At 48.5% G+C, this 17,969-nt stretch overlaps 1 protein-coding gene and 1 long non-coding RNA gene across 2 annotated transcripts in view, besides 1 other annotated feature; both read right to left on the bottom strand.

Annotated features, from left to right (window-relative positions):
- The window catches only part of MGMT (O-6-methylguanine-DNA methyltransferase), a 303,743-nt gene that overhangs the window by 53,066 nt on the left and 232,708 nt on the right, over window positions 1–17,969 (bottom strand). Inside the window, exon 3 of the mRNA NM_002412.5 lies at window positions 9,875–10,023. Within this exon, the coding sequence (NP_002403.3) occupies window positions 9,875–10,023 (149 nt within the window). The remainder of the gene's footprint in view (window positions 1–9,874; window positions 10,024–17,969) is intronic.
- LOC105378560 (uncharacterized) lies at window positions 51–9,868 on the bottom strand. The gene is made up of 2 exons (XR_946467.3): window positions 2,314–9,868; window positions 51–306 (listed from the first exon to the last, which is right to left on the bottom strand). It is a non-coding gene; the product is annotated as an uncharacterized LOC105378560 (long non-coding RNA).
- Window positions 5,952–6,667: an enhancer, noted in NCBI's record as "NANOG-H3K4me1 hESC enhancer chr10:131509515-131510230 (GRCh37/hg19 assembly coordinates)". NCBI's record gives its function as "activates a minimal SCP1, AML or CMV promoter by ChIP-STARR-seq in naive H9 embryonic stem cells {active_cell/tissue: H9 hESC(naive)}" and the evidence as "EXISTENCE:reporter gene assay evidence [ECO:0000049][PMID:30033119]".

The raw sequence follows: 17,969 nt of genomic DNA, 5'->3' as shown, positions 1-17,969 counted from the left end.
AACCCTAACACTGGTAAGACCAGCTTTTTAAATACACATTGGGCCATGAATAATATTTAAATGCATTGCTTTAATACAAATAAACACCACCTTCTGATGAAATTTTCAAAAAGAATCCTGTTTTCCAGAAAAGGAAACAGGCATTACTGCTGCTCACTGTCCTCAGAGAAGAGTCAGGGTCCCCGGCCAGGTGTGCGGCACGGAGGGACCACAGCCGGCCAGCCATGTGTGGGTCTAAGATGCAGACTGTACCATACATCAAAAGGTGTTAATGGTTTCAATATTTATCTGCTGCAGGGAAGCACTCTAAAAAGAAGACAGAAAAAAAAATTCTGCTAATGGCTGTGTCTTTGCCATTAAAATGAAAAGCTTAATGCATCTTATAATCAGAGGACAATTTGCAAATCATTAAGAGAAATGTAAAATTCCATTAAAATACAAATCAAGAGACTCTCCCTGGACTAATAATCTTTTTGATATTATTTTGCATTTCACTATTTCTGTTCCAATACCCAGGTCCCACAAATGATCAGCTACTGAACACGCTATTTACCACAGCCTACTTCTTTAACGAGAGACTGGGAGAAGGATGATCTGCTATTCAGAGCAGGTACTAATGAAGAATTCCATATATTCTGAAATTTAATTAAAACCCCAAAGATTTCAAATTAGATGCAATTTGAAATGCCTGGGGCAGAAATACATGCACTTGCGTGGCAAGGGTATCACACTGAAAGTTGATACCGTAATTGGTCTTGATGTATTTTTGTGTTGCCGGGCTGAAGCACAGAACTCATAACCATATAAAAATTCTCTGTAGATTACCTGCTCATTGAAAATGCCATCACTCAGGTAGTCCTCTACTAAATTACCATGCTACTAAAATGCACAAAGTGATTCGGAGAGTGGAGCGGCACAGCTGGCCGACGCTGCCAATGAGTTATGCATGCGTCAATGCGGCCTTTTTTCTTAGTAAAATATGCTCAGTTGAATATTAAAATATAATTGGCATTCAACCTAAGTAGCTTAAACCATTTTGTTATCTTCTTTTAAACCGATTTGGCTCCTTCACAGTTATTTTCAAGGATGCGATTCACAAACTAATGATACCATCACATTCAGCTAGATTTGTGCTGTTTTACATTTGTCATAAATAGGTACAGTTTCTACAGCCTTCTAGGGATAGCCTTTAATATCAGCTGCTCTTGAACATCAAAGGCCCAATTCTTGGGGAAAAGCAGGGGAATGTGCCATTTCTGTTGGTTCTTGCATATTTTATTCTGAAAAGAGGAAGAGACGCGAATTTTCTATGAAAAGTATATGTCTTGGGCAAGCAGTAAGTCCTGACGTGTCTCTTGAGCTCGGTTGCTAGGTCTTACTAAAACCATCTAAGTGAGGAAAGGCTGAAGAGAAAATCAGGTTGCTTGGCAGGCGGGGGATCGCGGAGCCCAATCCAGAAAGGAATGTGCATTTTTAAAGAAAGCAGACAGTGTGGGCACACACATCCACACGTGGAAGACTATGGACAATTCCCCTTTCTTACACAATATGTGTTTGTGCAACAATTAAAAACAGTACTCAAGAAAAAAAAGTCGTTGTCATAGTAACAGCTACACTGTATATATTTACTGGCGGAGAGGGTGGGCTCGCCAGAGTGGGTGCTTCCTGGGCGTTACCAATACCTAACCTGAATCTTTGGAAGGGCAGAGAAGGCCTGATCCGAACTAAACGGAGTCAAGTGTTTAAGAGCTTTCAAAAAAGGACTTTCTTTTCCTCGATTTCGTTCTTCAATTTACTTCTTTGGGAGTAACTTCTTGTATGGAATTAAAACGTGCTACAGAGCTGGAGACGTTCCGGCTGAGCCTCCAGGAAGTCTGCTCTGTCTTGAGGATGTTCCCATCTCCACGCGGCCTCAGAAGCTACACTGACCGCCGCGTACCTCCAACAGGAGGGAGGAGTTCCCTCTACGTAAATATTTGCTTTTTCCATTCTGACACATGAAACAACATATAAAGAGGGACAGAGACTCATGAATCTTATATTCCGAGTCAGCCTGAACATAAGGATTGCAGGCAAAAACCGTATGTGTGAAAGCATTTACATTAAGTCATAGTTCTTACACTTTCAGCTCCTGCAATAGTTTTTCAGCATTATCACTATTAATTTTATACTAATATTTACACATTTAACGTATTGATAACATAGTCCAATTCTATGCACACGTTATTAAAACATCATTTTCTCTATAAACACAGGTAGTGGAGATAATTCTACTTATTATTGCTGGAATTATTTCAAATGCACGAACATTACCTGTAAAACATGAATGTGCATTTATGACGACAAAAGAGACGAAGGTTAACATTCTCTTTTGGAGCGGCACATGTCCAGCTAATGACTACAGTGGAAATAGAAATTTAGAAACATATTTAAGTGAAAAGTGTGTTTTTTACTTTAAAACAGAGAGAAAATTCCTATTTTTCAAAGCCCATTTAAAATGAAAATTTATTAAAGGAAGCAATGATGCAATTTACATTTCCTCACAGGCAGAAACCTGGTTACTTCTACTTTTTGAGAAGTCCACTCAAGGCCAACGCCAGGACACTGCGGAAAATCCTTCTAAAGGCATTCACATAATTACGATGACTTAATTTTTAATAGAAGCCATCACTGATTTACTGTTTAATTACTTCACCAGAGTTAAATTATATTTTAATGTGAATATTTTCCCATAAAAGCAGCACTCATAATAATTTTACATATTACAAGTCCTGCTTATTGTAGTAGAGACCCTCGTTATGTCCACCAAGGTTTGGAAGTGGCTGACTCTCAAACAGTCCTCTTGGTTCCCTCTCAGGCTTGGTAAATTACTCTGTGTGAGGGCTGCTTCCTTTACCCCCGACTCACGGAACCTCAGGGAACTAAGGACCTGGCCACCTCTTACATTCAGGATAAAACTCTCACCTAACTATGCTTCTGCTACAGGCATTGTGGGATCGCTGATTAGTCAGAGGGCTCTGCACAGGGACATCATGAATTTCCTGGGATTCAGCAGGCTGTGGTTCTGTTCCAGCCACTGCCAGTGGACCAGGAGCCGAGCACCCCTTTCCTAGGAGAGGGGCTGGCATTTCCTCAACGGCAAAACATTCCTTCAATGCGCACAGTTTTTAAGTCTCAAACAAAAATAGCTATTAAATTAGGAATGTTAGGCTTAGTAGAGGGTAAAGCACACAGCAAAAGCATTCATAGGAGCTACATCCATTTTGATAAATTCCTTTAGAACAATAATTCTCAGAAACAGGGTATGTGTGTGCGTGTGCCCATGCTAAGGTTTTAGTGTATCTTGAGGAGGGGTAAGAAGTATAAAAATTTATAGGTAGAATATTATAAATGAAATGTCTAGAGGATTCTGATATAAATCCCCCAACCCCATTGAATGAACTGAGATATGAGTAACTTGAAAAAGGAAAGTGCTTGAATGAATCATTGTTGAAACTTTAAAAACTCTCTCCTAGCCCAAGATGTTGTTCATAGTATAAACAGCAAGAAAGTACTCATGACAATTGCTAGGTAGGAAACTGCATATTCAAATATGAAACAATGAACTAAGACACAATCTGAACCTCAGGTTCTTTGGCCCATGAAATTCACCAATATGCCAGAGTATAGCTGGTCAGCCAAGCTCAGGAGCTGAGAGTGGTGTGCTTCGCTGTTACTGGGCTGGCCTGGCCAGGCAGTCCACGGGGCCAGCCCGTGCAGGCAAAGCCCGGGCAAACCAGGAGAGCTCGGGGCGCCTAGGGGCTCTGCGGGCATGCCCTGCTGAAACCAGGCTTTTGGATGCTGGGGCTGCGAGCCCCCAACCTGGAGCAGCTCTCAACAGCATTCTGGATTATCTGACATTCTTGTTCTGCTGAGGGGCTGGAGGTGATGCAGGTATTCAAATGAGCCAGGACGGGTGACGGGAGCCCACTCACTGGGAAGGGAACAGCATCAATGGGGACTTCCCATGAAAGTCAGGCCGTGTGCCGGCAGATGAGACCCTGGGAACTAGTGGCATGCTCCTCCAGACAGCTCTGAAAGGGAAGGACATTGGCGGGGATCTGGTCTTCTGGACCCACAGGGGATGGGTTCTTGGGAGGCAGGGCTGGTGTAAGTAAACGTCCCCAGCTCAGAAGACCCCTCACCACCTCCATCCCCACCAGTGCTCACTCTACCCTTGTTTCACACACATCCTGCACTTTCACTGATCTCTGCCCTATTTTTGCTTTTAAACATTCCAGCTTTTCTCTTTGTGTCAAGTTTCTGAACCACAGAAATGCACTGGGCTTTCCTCTCCATGGTAGAAATGACAAGTGTTCCTGGTGGCGGCCCCGGTACTCATTCCAGACATCGGACAATCCTACTGGCCACCTGGAAACCCGCGGGCCTGCCATCCACTCTCAGCTGTGGATGGGTTCTTCTTCTTTTCACCTTTCCTGGTGAAGGTTCCAGAAGGCCACAGATCTTGATTTCCACATTTGCTCTCCAGAAAAGGAGCACAGCAGCCCTAAGGCTGAAAGAATTACATTTTTACCAGCTGTTTTTTCCACTTAAGTGCAGTGTTGTTAGCTTGTTCTAATCAATAAACGGGCATCGGAAGAAGGTTTACAAACCTTCCAGCTCCACCAGGTAATATCTCAGCAAGGTCAACAATATTTATGAGCCCTCGTTTAAAATCAAGGGGAACAGCGGTGGCCACCCACACGTGGTGGCAAATGCATCTCCTATTTTAGCTATTCTCTTCTCTTTCAATTGGTAATTTTTTTCTTAAGTTCAGGGAAAATATCGGTACAAAGTGCTGAAAGGACAAAGCCTGCGTGCTGCCGTGATCTATGTGGAAGCTACAAGAAAAACATCCCCTCTTGGCTGCAGTGTCTCTGTAGAAAAACTCAGGCTGGATCACGACTTATAAGGCACATTTTAAGAACACCCAAACGGGCCCTAGGACCCTCGGGTGAGGAGGGCTAATATGCCTCTTTCCAGGGGAGGCCATCTACTTGGGCACCCATCAGGGGTGGGCTCTTTCCTGGATGTGAGTAGGCAGCAGGATGGGGTTGTAGGGGGCTGGATGAGCCTTTGCTTGGCTCTTCAAGAAGGATTTCTAATCTTAAAGGGCTGGCTCCGGTGAGGACCCAAGTAATGACGCCACTCTCTTCTCCTCTCCTCCCTCGTCATCCTCTCCCGGGACATGCCCCTTCCAGGACCCAAGCAGTCCTCACTAGAAGCACCAGCAAAGAGGGCCCATCTTCCAGGACACGGTGGGAACCTTAACGAATTCACCCTGAAGGCCCTTTCCCTTAACTCTGGGGCAGGGCTTTTGTTAGAGGCGCTTTTGAAATGAGGAATTCGATGGAGACACAAAAATACAAAAATATGAATCCTTTCTGAGGCTCTATAATAGAAGTTACAAAAACTTACTTCTACCAGCAGGTGTTAAAAAAGGGAGATTTTACTGCTGTCATGCAACTGGATTTCATAGCTGTAAGCCAATAGCTGTGACGAAGGAATTATTAAAGTGTTAAATATTTCATTTAAAAGGGAACATTGCAGTCACTTTACAAAGAAAACTCAGAACTCGTCCGTTGAACACCTTCAACTGTGAGAAGGCTGGGGTCCCAGCTAGGCTCCCCACAGTCTCGCGTGGGCAGCCCCAAGGCCTGGTCCTGCCTTGGCAGGACCTCCCTCAGCAGCCTGGGGTCAGCCATACCTGCTGGCAGGGTTTCCATGGGTGGGAGGGCTCAGGGACCTGAGGACGTGCCCAGATGGGTTCTGTATCTGAAAGTCCATCCTCGCTTTCCGTAGGTCTGCTTTTCTTGAACTCATTGTAAAAAGCTGCTTTTGGCAAACTAAGGTAGAAAGGATTTCTTGTAGCTGCATTGGCTGCTGACCCCTACAGCTTCTCCAGAAGGCACATTATATAAAGAAGCTAAACATTTTCATAAATAAACACTAAGAAATCAGGGAGTGTTCAAAGTTTAAATGATATTTCATTATAAAAGAAAAAAGTAAAAATGTATTTCAAAAATAATGGCTTCATTAAATAAGTATTTCTTGAGGAAAAATGAATTAGAAATAAATACAAAGCTGACCCTTGCGAGAGGCTTATGGGAAAAAATTACCTCCTTAAAAAGCTACGTTGTACGACAAGATGCTAGCCCTCGGTCACACAGTAGCTAGAAAATGGATTTTGTTGACACTTTAAAAAAACCAGAATAGCAAACCAAAAAAGCCAAAAAACCCCAAACCAAGAAAACTTTGACTAATTTTATTTTAGGAAATGACCTGACTAAAACAACACTTGAACGAGAAATTAGAATATGCTTCACTGGACAGCTCAGCTTTCCTCTTAATCCCTTCAGCAGAACAATGAGGCTTCCTTCCAGAGCCTCAGCGCCCTCCCACTGGGAAATCCCACCTGTCCCAACCTCACAATGAGGCAGCCCCGGGGACCTCCGGACACCCGGTCGGGAAAGGCAGCTTCACTGTCCCTTGGCAGAAATACTTCAACAGCTACCTAGCTACTAACCTGTCTTTGGAAATTCCCCAAGATAAGAAGTTGAACCATCTGAAATTTCTGGTATTTGATAAGTTTTAACCTAAAAAATAGCAATTTCATATGGTTCAACGTAATGCATATTTTTGTGGTTAGCCTTAAAAAGCAAATCACAAACAGCATGTTCGTTCCAGAGAGGAATCCTGGAAGGTGAGGTGGTACCGCGAAGAGGCCGTGTGCAGGAGAGAGGGTCTTTCAGCAGCAGGACAGGCCTGAGGAAGGGATGAGGGCTTGGTACTGCGCAGTCAGAAGTTTTACCAGCCAGGCCTTCAGAAAGAAATGGTCAATGTGCTGGAACTCAAGGATGAGCTCAAATACAATCACATTTTTAAAAATGTTGACATAGACAAACCAGGTTGAAATAGATAAACCTGGTCTCAATCTCAGAAGTGAGACTATGGTGAAAAATGATATGCAAAAGTATGTTAAACATATACAGAAATTAAAATGTGCAGAAAAAGGAATTGGTCAAGGAAATGTTCATTCCATGTTACAATGGACCCGCTCCTCTCAGTCTGCAAAGCAGGTTGATTTCTGTTACTCCACAGCTTCCAGGCGGCTCTGAGATGTCAAAAGACTTTTCCTCTAGAAGACCTGCCCCCTCACTGTTGATTTCACTGATGTTACAAGATAACAACCTGGACAGAGAGCAAACCAAACTCATGCCAGACAGAGAGGGGCGTATCCACATCTGGGAGAACCAATTAACTCCCTGTTAGCAACCATCCACCATCCACCTCCCCTTCTTCAAACAGTAAAATCCATACACCTGGCCCCTGCCCAGGAGTAAACGATTGAGCTAAATGTTAAAAACCTGGCTTACACATGCTGTGGTGGGGAATCCCAGCCCCCACAGCAACCACTAACCATCCGCAGGCAGGCCTGGCCCAGGGGACTCCAGCCCCTACCCTCGAGAGAAGGCCCTGAGCTCAGCACCCTGGGTCTGCAGCCAGCCTCAGAGTTCTAGAACACCAAGAGAGAAGGATGTGAGCGGCTGTCGCACTACCATCCCAAAACTTGGCTGGAGTGGACCTCGTCCCAGCTAGAGGTATCCACCCGCACTGTAGGGCTTTCCAAGAGGGGCAGGGCCACGGGGGAGCCAGACAGCCTTTACCAGTATCCTGGCGGCTACTCTGAGGTCTTCCTGGTCACCAAGACCTATCATGACCTGCCAGCCCAGGAAGCAGCCTGGCCTGGCGTGGGCTGAAAGCCAGGGAGGCAGGGGTAGGTGTGGCCAATCCCAACTCTGCTTAAGCACTAGGGACTTGACTGAGAAGCCCCAGGGGCCCGCCTGTCCTCGGCTCTAGGAGCAGCAAACACTGCCATGGGCAGAAGTGAGGGGGAAAAGGCTCAGCGGGGGTTCAGTGCTTGCAGGGGTGGTTTGGAGAGTGTCTGATTATTTCCGGTGCCACCTTCCTTGCTGGCCACTCCTGCCCTGGAGCTCCTGTCAGCAGCTGCGGAGGCCTCCTCCTCCGGTTCTTCCTGGCCTGCCTGAGAGCACACCACTCTCTGGACCCTGGTGAGACCAGGCCAGCAGGGTCTAGCTCCATGGCCAGGGCCACCATATGACTTGGAGAAAACTAACGATTTTCATGGAACTTTTGCCCCTATGTTTTTCATGAAGTTGCCCAACAAACCTTAGGTAAACTTCAGGGGTTTGCAGGCTCATTCTCCCAGCCTCCATATGATTATGCAGATACCTCCTGCCCTGGTTTTGTAAGAGAACTTTTCTGTCCTGAGACCTTACATTTCAGCTCACATATTTCACAGGCTTAAGGAGAAGAAAAGCCTCTGGACAGCTCTTCAGCCTTGCTCCTCCTGGCAGGCGAACCCCCAAAAAGAGATCGTATAGAGAAGAGTTCACCACTCTAAGATCCCCAAGCCCCAACTTTAATAAACAAAACCAATCTCTGACTTCCTTGGGCCATTCAGCAACATCCTGCCCTGTGCCCGGCCCATCAGGTGCACAGTGAGCAAGGTCCCCCACACCGTCTAATTGGCTCACTGGCTTGTGGCGCTGGGGAGAGGTGGCCCCCAGCTGGCGGCAGCCCAGGAGGCTTTGGTAGTGCCTTTGTCCTGGCAGCAGCCCATTGGTGGGCAGAGATGATGAGAGGTTTCTTGGACGTTTGTGGTTCCATGTAAAGGCCCACCCACTCTAGCTTCCTATCTGCCCATCCTAGAGATCCCCACTGAACCCTTCTGGAGACAGTTCTGTATGATTCAGAGGACAGCAAGGTGCCTGGTTCATTATAGCTGCACAGCTTCAGTTCATTATGCACAAAACGTGCTCATGACTTCATATGTTCGCCTGTCTGACTTGGTTAGTGAACTCAGGTATTAGCCCAACCTTCAGGGGTTTCTTTACCTGCTTCCCTTGAAAAGTTCTCTCCATTTTCAAGTTTGTTTTGTGCTGAGAAGCACCGCAGCAATTAGAATACTGTTAAGCTTACCCAGCAAATCTGATCTGAAATTCAAAATTGCTTTAAATTCACCACATCTAAAATCTCAAGGTAATTTTTCCCTTTAAGGATATATAAGTGTACAACTCCATATATACATCATATATGAATATATGTTCATTTATACACAAAAATGATTATGAAAAACTCACTATGCAAAATAAATTTCTGGCATGTGTCTGGAATGATTTTAGTTGCTGTAATTAATTTCTGTATTGAGCAGAGCCAAACACAAGCTTTAAAAGAAATGTCTGGGAAATGTTTTAGATTATCACAAGCCTTAAGCAGGCTACATACAGGTAAGTTCTCAAGTCATCTCTTAAGAAAGAATATGTCTAACTCTGGTACGTTTGAGAAATTAAATGTAAAATTATTTGAGAAGCTCCAATGCTGCTACCTGCTATGATGTAAGTGTCACCAACAGAGTGTATGGAAATAGCTAAATGTCCACGCACAAGTCTCGTTTTCTGTGCTGTTGGCAAGCAGATAGTTGAAGTTCACAATAAGCTTATTGAAAAATTTACTGCCATTCAGATGTGTTCCTATTTAAACCTTTCAGCCAGCGAGAGTCAAGAGTCGATCTGCATGCTTCATTTTTATTGCCTTTGCCAAGAATTATGCAACCCTGTGCCAAAACTAACACAAGTGTTGGAGTGGGTGGAGGCGGCGAACCCCCGTCCCTCCAGCTCGGCCAAACGCTGCCTCTGTTTAGCTGATGTAAAAATACCAAGTTGGTATACTCAATAAAATGAACTGTGATGTCAGCGATCGTTAATAAGTCAAGCTCCCCAAAGGAAACACCGCAGATGGCTTAGTTACCGACCTTGCTGGAAAACGGGATGGTGAAGAGCCGGCACGGGGAACTCTTCGATAGCCTCGGGCTGGTGGAAATAGGCATTCAGCCAGGCTGTGCACTGCATCAGGGGCTCCGGACCTCCGAGAACCGCAGCGGGGGCTGGGACCTCCACGGCACTGCAAAAGTGAGAACAGGGGCTTAGTAAACCTCTGGGCCCTGCCTCCACACATCGGAAAAGCAAACACCTACTGCATCTAAACGGGCAAACACCTGTGGCTGCTTCATGGGCACACACGTCTCAACTAGCTGTGCAGCAGAAAGGGGGACTGGTGAGGCAAGGACGCACCGAGGCCCCGCAACCACTCTCCACCTTCAGGCCTCCCAGGACGTGTGTTCTGAGAGTCTGCATCACAGCGCAAGGCAACCCAAGTGACAGTGTCCCTTTGTAAGACTTACAGATGGCACGGCTGCACCTAAATCATCAAGCACTCACTATTGAAAACAGTTCCCAGAAATATCGACACAGTCATTAGACTGCACCACACGGCCCACCCCACCCCGAGTCCAACAACGCAAGGCCACATCCACGCGTTCTGCCTCCTCCATGGCCGTGTGCTGTGTTCAGGGGATTCCTCAGGGTTTACCTGCAGTCCCCTGATTCCCACGCTCCAGAGGGCCTACTCTGTGTTTCCTTCATCGGTGAGTCTGTCCTCTCGGGGGCAGCCCTGTGCCTCGTGTGCCTGTGTCTACTTGGTTCTTTCTCAAACCTTCCTGGTGTTTGTTTGTTTGTTTTGAGACGGAGTTTTGCTCTTGTTGCCGTGGCTGGAGTACAATGGCTCGATCTTGGCTCACTGCAACCTCCATATCCCGGGTTCAAGTGATTCTTCTGCCTCATCTTCCCTAGTAGCTGGGATTACAGGCGACTGCCACCACGGCCAGCTAACTTTTTGTATCTTTAGTAGAGATGGGGTTTCTCCATGTTGGCTTCATCACGTTGGCCAGGCTGGTCTCGAACTCCTGACCTCAGGTGATCCGCCCGCGTGGGCCCCCCAAACTGCTGGGATTAAAGGTGTGAGCTACTGCGCGGCCCTCTTGGTTCTTTCTGGACACTCTCCTCCCTTTGATTTCCTGCAGTTTGAACCTGTACCTCTGGGAGTCGCTTCAGACTGTTTTGTGGCTGCTTCTGTTTGGGGTGTTCATTCATCTGTGGCTTCGACCTGGTGGGCCCTCATGGAAAGGATTCCCCATCTCCAGCAGGGGTGGATTTTCTGGGGCTGTGTTCCACGGACTGAGGACATGGCCCTGAAGGGGAGGTCTCCCGCTGCCACCTGGGGCTGTGGAGTGCATGACACATCCCGTTGTGATTTCAAGTGCTGTGGACCCCCGTGGGAAGCCCTGGCCCTGGGTCCGATTTCTTCAGGTGACTCCCTTCCTTCCTTCCCTGCCTCTCGAGGCCCCAGACAAACGGCATGCTTCCCCGGGACTTCCCAGGCTTGGAGCACGGAAGTTTTCTAGTTTCCTTCTGCAGACAGTGCTGCTCCTCAGGCTTCTGTGAAAAGGTGGGAAACGTCACTGCACTGTGGATGCTGTGGACGCACAGCTCCCGCGGGCCCTTCACCCTTCCTTCCTGGGCTGCCTTGGGGGGCGTGCGCTGAGATCTACAGAATGTTTCTCCTCGACACACCCATGCTGCTCTGGGAGGGTCCCAGTGAAGGCTTCACTTGCCTGGACATGTGGCCCAGCACAGGCGGCCGATGCAGCCGGGAGCACCGTCCCAACTCTGTCCACACAAGGTATGCACGGCCAGTCCATGGAGAGGAGGCAACAGAGCCATCCCGGACGTAGGACAGACAGTGTGAACGTAGACGCAGAGTGGAGGCCTCGGGGACTGAGACTCACAGAAAGGTGGGCAAGGACTGTGCGTGTCAGGGCGGGAAGGGCACTTTGTCCTATGAGTGCGGCCCACAGTGTGACTGGTGGGGGCTGGGGGCCCCTGGCAAGAGGCAGAAGGCACCGCAGCTGCCCTGACGCAGGGCTGCAGCAGTAAGAACATGGCAATGGTGCAGGGAAGAGCTGGAGGACCATGAAGCTGGGGTCAGGGATGACTCTCAGCTCCAACCCCAGCTCTGTGCGGATTCAGCCTGTCTGCCCGGCCCTGTGTGGATGGGGCTGTTGCCCTGGCCCCGTGCTGATTCTGCTGGTCTCCCTGGCCTTGTATGAATGAGGGCCTGTCTCCTGGGCCCCGTGCAGAAGGGGACCTGTCTCCCCAGCCCTGTGTGGATGGGGCCTGTTGCTACCGCTGGTGTCCAGGAGGACCACAGCCCCGGAGCTGCAAACAACTGGCATTTCACTTTGTATCACAGAATTGGAGGCTGTTTTAGAAAAGAAGATGTAGTCACAACTTCTTAAAACACCTTCACACAAAGAGCTCAGATGATCTCTGGAGCGATTAGTTCTCGCTTTTCCTGTGAGGTAAAAACCAAGCTTGTACAAATCTGAATAAAGTCAAAAGTACATAATGAGGCAAGAGATAAAAGGAAGCCGAACACCTTCCTTATAGTTAAAAAGGTTTCCTCTCTTATGCAGTTAAAGCGGAAATAAAGATAACTATAGCTTACACGTCTAGTTAAACAAACACAGCCTTTCGTGTTTTGGGTTTGTGTTAAAGATGATACAAATTACTTTGGCTTAAAGTGTACTGTGGGCGGAAATACCCTGGCACATCCATTCAGAAAAGAAACCAGGGCCTCAGCAGCACGAACCTCTTTTGCATTCCATCTGGGATACTCACATTTTAACAAGAGACAATTAAAAACGGCAAAGCTGGGATCTAAAGTTCTGGAGCTTCTGCCTGAGTAAATGCCTATGGTGGCGTTTCCATTTCCCCAGAAGACAGCAGACATGCCCAGGGGCACACACGGCCATGGGCCTGCGTCTGCGACATCTACAGTGCGTGGTGACACCATGACCAAGCCCACGGGGCGGCAGGGAGAAGCTAAGGAGAGGCACAGAACTGCACCCGTGTTGTTATTTTCGTGTGGAGCGGTGCTTGCCTTCCATTGTTGGGGGAGATGTGGGGGAAAGAGACCCAGTGAAGGGTGTGTCCAGGGTTACTTCGCTTTGAGGTCCTGCAGGTGCAGAAATGTGCATGTCATCCGACAGCAGGGGCGGCGACGGAAGACCTCGGGCCAGTCTCACACGCTGTCCTGTGCTGGAGGCTGGGTCTCTGGGCTGGAGCATTTTGTGGGTGTAAAAGTCTCTGCCGAGATCCTCGGGTCTTTCTAAAAATGGACCTTTTTGGGTGAGATGCACATAGGGGCCCCCATACACTGTTTTTCACGGTGGAGCAGGAGGGTGGTCAGAGGTTTCCAAGCACACAAATCCTGACGGTTTTAAGGAAGGAGCCAGAGAATGAAGGGAAAAAGAAGGAAGCTCACTAGGATGACCGACAGCCACGGATAACTGTGACCAGCAGTCGGACCTGTGAACCAAGCCCAGCAGAGCCGGCTAAATTACGCTGACCCCGTGGACACTGCGGCCAGACAGAACATGCCCCGGTCTTCTCCAAACTGCCGCCTTACCCAGATCCCTGCCCAAGGGAACTCACGCAGACAGTGCCCTCATTCAGCCCAGTACCCTTAATACACAGGCTGAGGTCTCCACAGCCCAAGCCACTGCCTGGAAACCCTTGTCGGTCCCGTCACAAAGAGGCCCTGGGGGAAGCCGGGCTCACTCTGCAGGCAGAGAATGGGCCTGCCGAGCAGGCAACGAAGTGGCCTCTCTCAGAGTTTCCTTAGGGCATGGGAGTGCTGTCTTTTCACTGCCCAATTTCCTTCCCCGTTAGTGAGGTCTGGCCACGGAAAGGAGAACTTCTGCTTGGCTTAAATATTATTCAATTTCAGAGACACACCTTCAGTCATTCAATTCTTGCTCTGCTCTTTGCTAACCGAATAAACAGTGTACTGATGCTATCTAAGAAGAACGATGGAGAAATATGTAATGTACTTTGCTGTCCTGATCCCTGGGGAAGGCGGCCGAACAGAGGGGTGGAAGCCCTGTGCAGTGAGGGTTAGCCCCGGCTCCCTCCTGAGTGATGCAGAGCTGGCTGCTGTCAACCACCACTGCCCAGACAGGAAGAGCAAGCGTGATGGGGCCCATGTGCCCCGACCTTCAACTGAGGAAACAAAACCCCTGATCAAGCCACCTGGGCCTGGCACCTCCTGCAGCAAGAGCTCAGCTGACATCTCCTTCAGGGTTCGAGGGATGGGACAGGAAGGGGCTGAGGCGCTGGGTGAGGGTCTTGTCTCCTGCACTACCTCTGCTGGTGTCATGAGCTGGCGTCCGTGGTGGCACCTGGGGCTGCAGGATTTGGGCTCCGAAGCAAAGGTGCCCCCCCGGCGAGGATGGAGTGGAGCACAGGGGCTGCCGTTTCAGTGGTGGGTGAGTTGTACGGTCCCCGGGTAAGACTGGGATGTGGGATTGGTTGGCGAGGCATGCACCTCAAGGTCAGGGTTAGTCTTCAGGACTAGCGGGGTCTGGCTGGCCATCACACCCCGCAGATGGGGTTTCTCAGGGAAGCGAGGGTACACTGTGGGAGAGGGGGCATTCTACCACGAGAGCTGGGAGGTTCTGTGCCCCCAGCAACTGCTCAGACTCCAGAGTTAGGATTCCTTCATCACCCCTGAGCAAAACGGGGTGCACACCAAGCCTCTGCCCACGCGGGCGTCCTTCTCTCATGCTGCTGAGGGAATTGAAATGTGAGCTGGCTTTCCTAGCAGTTCCCACTCTTAAAGGGATATTTGAAGAATTTTTATAGTAGTAAAATTCATCTTAAATTGATTTTTTATGCTTGTGCTGAAGATCTCAACCTCTGATTTACTCTGTAGTTCTCCTTTTTAACTCTTTCTCTATTGGCATTAGATAACTATTCATGGGTGAAATGTAATTAAACAGCTTTGATTCTGAAGCAATGATTTATGATACTACATTTAAAATGAATGGCATTAAACACACACATAAAACCAGATTTTTAAAGCCATGACACAAATTTCCATTTCTACAGTAAAATGAAATTTATTCTCCTGCCCTGCCCTCTCCTCCTTCCCTGCCGCGCTCGGCCCTGGAAGAAGAGCTGGGGTGATGGCCTCTCTCACGGCGGCGCTTATCACGGGGGAGTTCCTCAAGCTTCCCCACTGGCAAACCCTGAAACACTAACAATTACGGGCTCCGTAGCCCACGCTCATGGAAATGCCACGTCCCAGTCTTCCCCAGGGGCCCTGCAACTCACCCACCACTGAAATGCCGGCCCTGTGGTCCGCCCCATCCTTGCCGGGGGAGCACCTTTGCTCGGAAGCCCAAATCCTGCAGCTCCGGGGGCTGCCACGGATGCCAGCTCATGATGCCAGCAGGAGCCAGTGCAGGAGACAAGACCCTCACCTGGTACCTCAGCCCCTTCCTGTCCCATCCCTCAAACCCTGCAGGAGACAAGACTTTTGCCTGGCACCTCAGCCCCTTCCTATCCCATCCCTTGAACCCAGCAGGAGACAAGACCCTCTCCCAGCATTGGTGGGGAAACACTCAGAGCCCATCAGAGTCGCACCTCCCCTAGGCCTCTCCTAGGACATCACGTGTCACCCACAGAATAATCCCGAGGCAAATATCATGACACTGGTGGCTTTCACTTTCTTTGACTTGGCACGAGAGGATGGTGGCTGGTGGGTGAAGCAGCCCAGCTTTGCTGGGCGTGTGTACATGTGACAACAGGGCGTCGGGCACCTTAACACAGCAAAGCTAGAGCCATGTGGACCTGGCTCAAGGATTTCTTTAAGAAAAACACAACTGTTGGCAATGCCAGGGGTTCCTTAAAATCAAACCGGACAACACTGACCTGCCCTGGGTAGAAGCTCCCGGGGCTGCGGCAGACTGGAAGGCCCCGGTGATATTCTCCCGGAGTTGCCGTCTGTGGGAAGCTGCCCTAACCCATTCGCCTTCCCCGGCTTGGAAAAACAATGTCCCAGTGATGAACTGCCTTGCAGATTTATTTTGATTTAAATCGCCTTCCCTTCAACCCAAACCAGGGCACAGAAAGGTGGTTAGAATGTTCCAGCACAAACTCATATGAGCACAGCAGCTATTCCAGGGAAAAGCGTCCTCCCTACCTGCAAGAAGCTTCCTTTCAAGACACTGATATTATCAAGAACGTGAAGGAAGAGTGGCAGCGGCCCACCTGAGGCACAGCAGAGCTGGGGGTGATGAGAGAAATTTAAGGGAAATGGCCCCTGTTGGACACGGGCTTCCTTTGACTGTGTGGGAATCCCACCTGGCCACAGACAAAGGGTAGAGGAAGCAAGTGCCCCAGGAGTCTTGATCTCAGCCCAGCTCAGCATGAGGAAAGCAGCAAGCAGGAAGAGTGAGTGTTCCTGGTACCACGGCTACCAGGCTCTTCCCAGTTTAGAGTGCTCAACATTCTAAAACTTGACCAGCCAGCTGGGAGATTTGGGTATTCAGATTTTTGGGTGCCTTAAGATTCCACTGGCAGTAGAGAATCACTAAATGTCCATTTCTGAATGAATTCTACTCCCCAGAGACATTAACACACGATGTACTTGGCTTGAATCCTGTTTGATTTAAGAAAATCGGCCAAGAGTCCTTCATAAGTTACTCACATCTGAGGCACCATCGGGCTGACCGTGGGACACTCCAGATGGGGAGTGCTGTGTACCCTCTGCCTCTCCTGTGACCCGAACACCTCCTCTCTCTCTCCATGGACGACGTTTTCATCTTATGGTCTGGGAATGCTACCTGACCACCCTGGAGGGTCACCCAAGGAAAGAGTTCGTTCCAAAGACAGGTGCTCCTCTGAGTTCCTCTGGAATCTGGCAAGGTGCCGAGCTTGGACGCAAGGCTTCCATGAGGCTGTGAAGGAGGTTGCACGGAAACTGGTGGGGATCTGAAAAGCTTTTAGTGGCCTCGCCACACACAGCACTTCAGATGCTCAGGTGATGAGCAACATTTTCCAAACCCAGCTAGTGAGCACCCCACCTCCTCTGGCTTCCAGAACCTGGTGTGGAGGGCCAGGAGAGGCTTCGGGACTGAAGGGCAGAGCAGCAGACTCCGGGGCTCATGTAGGAAGGAACATGCCTTCAGCCAAAGATTATCCACGCTGCATGGAGACTCTTGCTAAATATCACTGGTAAATGCACAATTATGTCCCATTTAGAGATCTCTAGCAGAGTGTCTTGTGTTTGATGGATTTGTCCTGCATTTAATTATAACTTCCTGCTAAAGCTCAGATGTTTTCTTTCAGGGGTAAGACTGAAGAAAAGAAATAAACTATGCTACCTGCTCTTAATAAAGATCATTTTATTTTAAACAGGAGGCTGAATAAAACCTTTTGACTCTGTATTTCAGACAAATGCAGTGGCTTAATTTCATTCAATCATTTACTGAGGATCTGAAATGCATGCGGTTAGTGGTGAGAATACTGACTCAGGGCTGTCCCTTCCTCTGGAGTTGACAGCCGACTGCGCAGGAAGGGAAGGTGAGGGTCAAACACACAGGTCAACATCAGAAACAGCACTTCCGCCTTCCATTGGCCCCGATGTTTCATGGAGGCCCCGAGGAGGCTGCGAAGGAACATGGCAGTGACTGCTCCGTGGCTCTGCGTGGTGGCCAGCAACTGTTTGGGCACTATGACCATGTACGTTTGACAAAGCGCATGCAATTATTTGAATATTCTATAGTTCTTTTAGGAAACTGAGTAGAAACGGAAAATTAAAAGTGCTGATGTTAGTAATAGGAAACATGGATCTCAACAGTGCAACTGTGGCAAAGATAAAAAACAAACGGCATGCCAACGGGCTCATGACAGACACAACCGCGGCCTTGCTGGTCTTGAGCTGCCGTTGCTGATGACGATGATGACGATGGCACTGACCACACACCGTGGGCTGTTCTCAGTGATTCATGCGCCACCCTACTGATTTCCAACGCAACCTCAAGAACAAGATGTGTTCAACTATGAAAGGAAGAAGTGAATAAACACGCACAAAACATCAAAAATATGCTTAAGTTTACGTAACAAACAATGACAGGTATGAGTAATGTATTTTTTTTTTAAAAC

This window comes from Homo sapiens, chromosome 10 (genome assembly GCF_000001405.40).
Source record: "Homo sapiens chromosome 10, GRCh38.p14 Primary Assembly".
Lineage (NCBI taxonomy): Eukaryota > Metazoa > Chordata > Mammalia > Primates > Hominidae > Homo > Homo sapiens.
Note: the sequence above shows the minus strand (reverse complement) of the source record. Positions and strands in the feature narration are given on the sequence as shown.